This window comes from Homo sapiens, chromosome 7 (assembly GCF_000001405.40).
Source record: "Homo sapiens chromosome 7, GRCh38.p14 Primary Assembly".
In the NCBI taxonomy this organism is placed as follows: domain Eukaryota; kingdom Metazoa; phylum Chordata; class Mammalia; order Primates; family Hominidae; genus Homo; species Homo sapiens.
Window position 1 is genome coordinate 23937263 of NC_000007.14, and position 8676 is coordinate 23945938.

The window sequence follows — 8676 nt, forward strand, 5'->3', positions numbered from 1 at the left end:
GTATTGGAGTCTATCTCTCCCTTTAATCAAATAATATTTGCTTTAGATATCTGGGTGCTCTGGTGTTGGGTGCATATATATTTACAATTCTATATTCTCTTGCTTAATCGATCTTTTTATTATTATATAATGTCCTTCTTTGTTTTTACAGTTTTTAATTTGAAGTCTGTTTTGTCTGACATAAGTATAGCTACTCCTGCTCACTTTTGATTTCTACTTGCATGGAATATCTTTTTCACTCCTTCATTATCAGTGCATGTGTGTCTTTACAGGAGGCATGAATTTCTCGTAGGCAGCATATATTAGTTTGGTGCAAAAGAAATTGTAGTTTTTTAAATTACTTTTTTAAAAATGACAAGACTGTGATTACTTTTGCACCAGCCTAATAGCTTTGTCTTGTTTTTTATCTATTCAGTCAGTATATCTCTTCTAGATGATGAATTTAATTCATTTGCACTTAAATTTTTTATTGAAATGTGAGGACTTAACACCTGTTATTTTTAATGATTGTTTTCTGATTGTTTTGTGTATCTTTCTTTCTTACTTCCTCTCTCATTGTTTCTTTTTTTGTCTGCCTGTGATTTTCTGTAATGTTAAGGTTTGATTTCTTTCTTTTTCTCCTTTGTGTATTGGCTCTACCAATGAGTTTTATAGTTTTCCATGTTTTCATGATGCTAGTTACCCTCTTTTCACTTCTATGTGTAAGACTCCCATTTCTTCTAAGGCCAGTCTAATGGTGATGAATTCCCTTAGTATTTATTTATTTTTTTGTGAAAGATTTTATTTCTTCTTCATTTCTGAAGGATAGCTTTCCTGGGTACAATATTCTTGGGTGACAATTTTTTTTTCTTTTAGTACTTTAAATATATCATCCCATTCTATCCTGGCCTGTAAGATTTTTGCTGAGAAATCTCCTGCCAGTCTAGTGGGGATCCCTTATATGTGACTTAATACTTTTTTCTTCTGCTTTTAAAAATCTTTGTCTTTTGACAATTTGACTATAATGTGCCTTGGAGGGGACCTGCTTAAGTTGAATCTATTTTGAGTTTTCCTCACTTTTTCATGTCTATTCTCTTTGTGGAATGTTATAATACAAATATTTGTTTGTTTAATGGTGTGTCATATATCCTGTAGGCTTTCTTCATTCTTTTTTCTTTTTTTTGGTCTGACTGTGTTATTTCAAAACCCTTGTCTTCAAGTTCAGACATTCTTCTGCTTGGTGTATTCTGTTCTATACTAGATTGTGTTTTTTCATTTCTTGAAGCTCTTGATTGTGTTTTTAAATTTCATTCCTTGAATTCGTCAGCTCTAGAATTTCTGCTTTTTAAAAATGATATCTATCTCTTTGTTGAATTTCTGATTCAGATAATAATTTCCTCCCAATATCATTGAATTGTCTTTCTGTTTTCTCTTGTAAGAAAGTTCCCTTAAGATTATTATTTGGAATTATTTTTATTATTCTTATTACTGAGTTCCCTTAAGATTATTATTTGGAATTATTTTTCTGGCGTTTTATATATTTCCTTATGATTGGGGTCTGTTACTTGAGAATAATTTTTTCCTTTGGAAGTGACATGTTTCTTTGCTTTTTCATGATTGTGTTCCTACATGGATTTTTATGTAGCTGGATATTTGCTTCTTCCAAATTTCTGGAGTAGGTTTTGTGGGGAAGTCCTTATTCGTTGGAATGGGTGTTGGCCTGTCATTTCACTGGGTTGTGTTGGCCTTGCTTCTAGATGGATGCAGTGTTGTAGTCTCCGTATAGTTTCCTCAGCTGTAATCCATACTAGTGGCATTTGTGAGTTTCTCAGAGGCCTAGGGTGACAGAGTTTGTGGTGACAGTGTTGCAGCTTTGCCAGGAGAGGGCTCACTGAGCTATTTCTCAGGTTGAGGGCATATGCAGCTTGGTTCACGGTCAGGGGTGGATAGGGAGTACACACCCTGTGCTCCTAATCCAGGACCATGCAGCCATGTGAATTCCTGAAAGTTCTCCAAACTGGACTCAGGGCTTGTGAGGACTGTGGGATTCTCCTGTAGTAAGGACTATAGGTGTTTGCAGTGACAATGAGAGCTGGTAGGGATCTTCTGCTTACCTTTTCCCCACAAATGTCCCTCCTATCTCCAGGCTGATCTGATCTGAGTGGAGGAGATGGGGCTACAGAGGCTGCGTGCCTCCATGTTGCTCTCCTGGACTTCCAATCACTACAAGTGTGCCTCTACTCTACTGCTGCACTCCAGCACTCTCCCTTAGACATGCCAGTCAAATCTTAGCTGTGTTTTCATTGCCTTGGTCCTTTCTTGTGGGAGGGAGTAGAGATGCCAGGCATCTTGCTGATGTCACTCTACTTTTATTTTTTAAAATGTGGCTATAGCCAGGCATGGTGGCTCACACCTATAATCCCAGCACTTTGGGAGGCTGAGGTGGGTGGATTGCTTGAGCCCAGGAGTTCAAAACCAGCCTGGGCAACATGGCAAAACCCCATCTCTACAAAAATTACTAAAATTAGCTGGGCGTGGTGGTATGTTCCTGTAGTCCCAGCTACTTGGGAGGCTGAGGTAAGAGGATCACTTGAACCTGGCAGGTCAAGGTCAAGGTTGCAGTGAGCTGGGACCACACCACTGCACTCCAGCCTGGGTAACAGAGTGAGACCCTGTCTCAAAATAAATAAATAAATAAATAAATAAATAAATAAATAAATAATAAAATGTGGCTACCAAAAATTTAAAATTACATTGGTACCTAGTGGTGTATTTCTATTGGACAACACTGTGCTTGAGAGTAGGAAAAGAAAGGGTATTTTTGTAGTGATTGCTGTGGGTTGTACATTTGGACGTCTTTAAATGTTTTTCAAAGATGTTCATAGAGATTGGAATTTCTATTCCTTTACTGAAATGTATTAGGTACTGGGGATATGTTGGTGAACAAGACAGAACCCTTGCAGACTGAACAGACTAGGGGACTTGCTTTTCTATAGAGGTGTGTGTTGGGATAAATAGATGAGAAACAGAAGTTAAATGATGTAATTAGGGATTGTGTTATACGATGGAATAAAGGAGGATAAGTTGAGGAGTCTGCTTTAAATGTGGTTATCAGAGGACACTACTCTCAGGGGATATCATTACATTTTTAGGAGGAGCCTGCTGTGGGAAGAACATAAAAGCCTCTACACACAGTCACAGTCCTGCCTTACCTCTTCTAAGTTTAGGATTAAAAGTAGGCTTCACATTGCAATAGAAGGCTTTTCTAATTAGTTTTATTTTCTTCTCCTTCAAAAAAAGAGTGTGACAATTTCTCAAGTTTGTCAGGTAGGGAGGCAGAGACTGCAAGGATGAGTGCATTGATGATCCCCTGAAGACAGTGTTCCAGATAGTTGTTTGGGGAATTCCCTCAGCAGTTGGTCCACAGTGCCATTCAGCTCCCTTGGCATTTACTGAACTGCTTTTCTAAATGGGATGCTTAAAAATGTACCATTCCTCCAGGATGGGTTTTAAGAGTCTTGCTTGTAAATAATGTTTCTTTTTTTCACGCAACTTAAGAAAGGTTGGAAGTCTACTCTGAAATTGTGCTGTTATGCCTCAGTCTTAAATACCATCCTGTGCTTCAGTTTTTAAATCATAATAATTATAATAAAAATAATGGGATAGTGTTAATAAAGCATATAGTATGTGCTAGAATATTTTACATACATCATCTCATTTAATCCTCACAGCATGAAGAAGCTGTGTAGTTTGGTGGCGAGTCATTCTCAGATTGCTTGGGGTCGAGTCTTAGTTCTGTTAAGCAACTTGACTGCTAGCAAACTTAGGCAAATTACTGAACTTCCTTCCCTCGTTCACTCATCTGTAAAGTGGGGATAATAATAGATTAATAATAATAATACTCAGTGTATCCTGTGGGGTTAGGGAAAAATGAAATAATTAATATATGCAATGTGTTTAGAGCAGTGCCTCGTCTGTATTAAGCCCTATGGTATGGCTAGCCATTATTGAAATAAAGTAACACCACCATTAGCCCCATTGAACACATTAGAAAACTAAAGTTCAAATTAAGTCTCCTGTCCAAGGTCACATACCGAGGAAGTGACTTCTCCCACTGCTACATTGAGATACGTGACTGTTGTCTGATGGCCTGCAATACTTCTAGGTGTGGGGAGGTTTGAAAAATAAGCAATACCGACTTGTTTTTGGCCCTGGGCTCCCTAGGACCATATGCTGTAGTGGGCTGGAAAAATTGGATTTTTGGCAATTTCATTCTGTAACTGTAAAGTAGACCTTTTCCTGCTAGTAGCATCTTTCCTGACTGTATTTCTTAATAGGAGATGACAGTATGGACAGGACACTTGGAGGCTTAGCAGAATGACTAGTTGTTTTGCTTCGGAGCTTGTTTCTTAAACCTCAGGGAAAGAAAAAATCCATCTGCTAGGTTAACTTTCTGGAAGCTTGTTGCCTAGAGATTAGGAGGAGAGCTATGGAGTCAGACAGGTCTGGGTTTGCATCATGGCATTTGCACTCCCTTGTCAAGTGTCTTGGGTTAGTCATTCATAATTTTGAAACTTAGTTTCTTCATGTATAAAATGGGGATGATGATAATGCCTACCTCATAGAGTTGTTTTGAGGATTGAGTGAGATAACAGATAACAACCCAACAAAAAGATAAGATAGATAATATGAACTCAGGGCTATATCAACAACTATTTACAATGATTATCCCCACAGTAATAAATAAGGTAATATGTAGGGCTTGTTATGTAGTATTGGTTTAATAAATGTAAGCTGCCATAATTCAATTCTCCAATGACTCTTGAGTCTTTGGTTTAGATGAGCATGTTCTACTGTTAGAGAACCAAGGTTAGATCATTGTCTAGTTGGCATTAGGCACATGGAATTACCTGTCACTGCCCTTAAGTCTCTTTGCTTCTGGGAGAGCTTATGGCATCTCCCACCTTGAACTAAAGGTCAATTTGCTGACTGTTGGAATAATATTGGCTCTTACGCACTTCTAGAATCTATTAATCTTGCCATTTAGTAAACAACAGAGCCTAGACCTTTATTCTGAGATCTAGGCCTATCTATCCAACTATCTATTTGGCTTCTCTGTATGGATGCCTTACAAATCTGGCCAAAATCTGGCCAAAATAGAGTTCACCGTATGTTCCTTCAAGTCTGTTTTCTTCTCCCAGTATCTGATCTCAGTAAATATCAACATCTACTGTGTTACACAAAGAAGAAAGGTCAAGTCTTCCTTGGCCCCTCTGTTCTCTTTACCTGCTATAGCCTGTCAATCTCACCAAGTCTTGTTCATTCTTCTTTACATATATCTTTCTTGAATCTCCCTGCTTCTCTGCATCCCATTGCTGTGACCCTGGTCTTACTCCTGGATTATCACCTTAACCACCCAACTGGTCTGCTGATCTCAGTGTCACCCTCTTCCCATCCATTCTCTCTCTCTTCTGCAGGCAGATGATCTTTTAATGACATTCCCCTGTTTAATCCCTGCAGAGGCTTCCAATTGCCTATAGGGTAATACCCTATATTTTTGCCATAAGCAACAAGACCTTATATAATCCAGCCCTGCCTAGCCCTCTTGCTCTACCTGCTGCCCTCTGGATCTAACATAGACTCTCTCCCACCCTGGGGCTTCACACACACTGCCCCTTCTGCTGGGAATGGACTCTTCCAACTCCTTTTCCCTGACCCCCCTCTTTCCCAGCTACTTCAGGTCTTGGCACGAATATTTAAAATATCTCTTTCAAAGGCGAGTATTGTTCAACTGTAACTACATACCCCCCCGCCAAGTTAAGCCCATGTGTTATATACTTATAAGTCTTGTGTAAATACTCACCACATTTGTGATTATTTGCTTACTATCTGTGTTCTTTGCTAGAATATAAGGTCTGTGAAGGTTTTAAACTTTTGTTTAAACCAGAAGGGCTTGTCATCCCGTATCTAATCCAGTTACCTTAATTTACTTATTAAGAAAATGGAGCCCATGGAGTAGAGTCTTCAGTTCCCTAATTTGTATATTTTCCATGAATGTAACTGAAATGTGAATGGGCAATTTAATCCCCCTAAACATTTGTTGGTTTAGAGCAACTTCGTAATGTGGGGAAAGGGTGAGTGAGAGACTCTTCCAGTAGCCCACAGTCCCACCATGGAACTGTACAGTTCTGGCCATAGGAGAACCACATGACCCTCCCAACCCCTGAAACGAACCCAGTGAGCTGCTGGAAGACCATGGGATGTAACTTCTCCAGTTCCCACTGCTGGGTCCCACACCTTTTCTGAGACCTTAACAGATAATACAGCAAGATGCCATTTTTAAACCTAGTCTTTGGCAGACTGCACACTGTTCTGGGGCCCAATGGTGCCAGAACTGAGGCATTACAGAAACGTGAGCTGTTGTTCCTGAGGCTGGGGAGCATGCTGGGAGTTCTACCATAGGCAGGGCTAAGAAATGAGTGAGGTATGGGCTGCAGCTGCTGGTGCCAGGAAGCGAGCAGAGTGTGAGTTGCCCCTGGAATTTGGTTGTCAGCTTGGTGGAAGCTCCTGCAGCTGGGGTTGATGTATGAGCTAGGCATGAAGTACCACCACTAGGGTGGGGGCAAGCCCTTCTGGGACTAGTGTGTGAAAGAGACACATGTTCCCTACCCAGTGGCCCAGGCTGTGGCCACCAAGGGCAGCCCCATCCTCCCAGTGGCAGGGCTTCAGTGCAGCTGCTACCACCCCTCACCTGAGCACTCTGCCTAGGGCCCGAGGATTGCTCCACCCCTGCCAACGATGACTGGTGCCTGCTGCCACCATTGGGGGGCCTGAGCACAAGCCTGTCCAGCCCAGTTTTATCCCCTCTCAGACAGAGCATATAGCCCCGGGTCCTGGGGATTGCCAGCCCCATCCACAACTTTGGGCACCTGGGCACTTCTCCTAGGGGCCTAAGGTTGGGACTAAACTCTTGGCTGCTATCACCTCAGCTTGCACCTACTTGCAAGCACCACCTGAGGACCTGGGGACTGGTCTACTCAGCTCATCGCAGCCTCTGCCAACATCAATAGACACCATTCAGGACCCAGAAAATTGTCCCGCCACTGCTGTGGCCATTCCTCATCCCACACTGGCTGCACAGAGGCCTAAGCACCTGCCCACCTACCCAGTCCACCACTGCCACTGCTGACATCCAAGCAAGCCACCTGAAAGCTCAAGACCTGGCCTGCCAGCAACTGTAAACACAGGTGCCAGTGTACACTACCCTGGGGCACAAAGATAGGCATACTCATCCCACCACTACCACCACCAGAGATTGAAGATTGGCCCACCTGGCATTTCAGTCATCAGCAAAACTTCACTACAGCCTCCACTAATAACCATGCCCTAACCTACTGAGGATATCACAGACACCACTGACAATGTTTAGAGCCAAAGAAATCATACAGAGACTACACTACTGCATGCATGAAGAATCAAAGTCAGTGTGCCCTGTATAACTGATGCCATAGATATATCTTCAGGAAAAAGTTATGCCCTGCCAAACAAATTCAAAAATAGGAAGAAACAACTATTACACCATATGCACAGATATTAACATAAGGGCACAAGACATATGAAGAAGCAAAGACATATGACACTTCCAAAGGAACACAATAATTCTCCAGTAATTTGATTTTGAATCAAAACAAGTTTTCAAAGTCCCTGATAAAGAATTCAAAATATTGATTTTAAAGAAGCTCAGTGAGATATAAGGGAATTCTGAAAAACAATACAAATAAATTAGGAAAACAATTCAGGGTATGAATGAGAAATTTACAAAAGAGATACATATTTTTAAAAAGAACCAAAATAAAAATTCTGGAACGGAAGAATTGATTGAAAAAAATACAAAATACATTGAAATCTTCAGCAATAAAGTAGATCAGGCAGAAGAAGGAATCGCAGAACTTGAATATAAGTCTTGGGTCCCACACCTTTTGAAAGTTTTTTGAAGTAATCCAGTCAGACAAAACTTTTTTTAAAAAGAATAAAAAAAGTCAGCAAAACACTAATCACATTTGGAACAACATAAACTGATTGAATATTTTAATGATTGGTATTACTGAGATTGAAGAGACAAAGAAGTAGAAGACCCATTTAATGAAATAACAGAAGAAAACTTCTCAAGTCTAACAAGAGATTTAGACATCAAGATACAGAAGGCTAAGTATTCCAGGCAGATATAATACAAAAAGGTCTTCTCCATGGCACATCTTAGTCACTGTTCAAAGTCAAAGACAAAGACCAAATTCTACAAAACAGCAAGAGAAAAGTATCTACTTACCTATAAAGGAAAATCAATTTGACTAACTTTGGATTTCTCAGTATAAACCTTACAGGACAGAAGAGAATGGCATGGTATATTCAAAGTGCTAAAAGAAAGAAACTGCCAGCCAAGCAAAATTATCCTTCTCAAATGAAGGAGAAATAAAATCCTTCCTAGACAACAAGTATGGAATGAATTCATTACCACTAGAGCAGTCCTACAAGAAATGCACAAAGGATTCCTAAACCTGGAAGTGAAGTACATTTACCATCATGAAAACACATGAAAGTATAAAACTCACTAGTAAAGCAATTACACAAAGGAGGACAAGAAAGGACTCAAATGATGCCTCTACAGAAATCGACTAAACCACAATGACAATAGTAAGA

At 40.2% G+C, this 8676-nt stretch overlaps 1 annotated feature.

The window, feature by feature from the left end:
- Window positions 1760-1809: a silencer, noted in NCBI's record as "silent region_18016". NCBI's record gives its function as "represses an Ori minimal core promoter by ATAC-STARR-seq in GM12878 lymphoblastoid cells {active_cell/tissue: GM12878}" and the evidence as "EXISTENCE:reporter gene assay evidence [ECO:0000049][PMID:35858748]".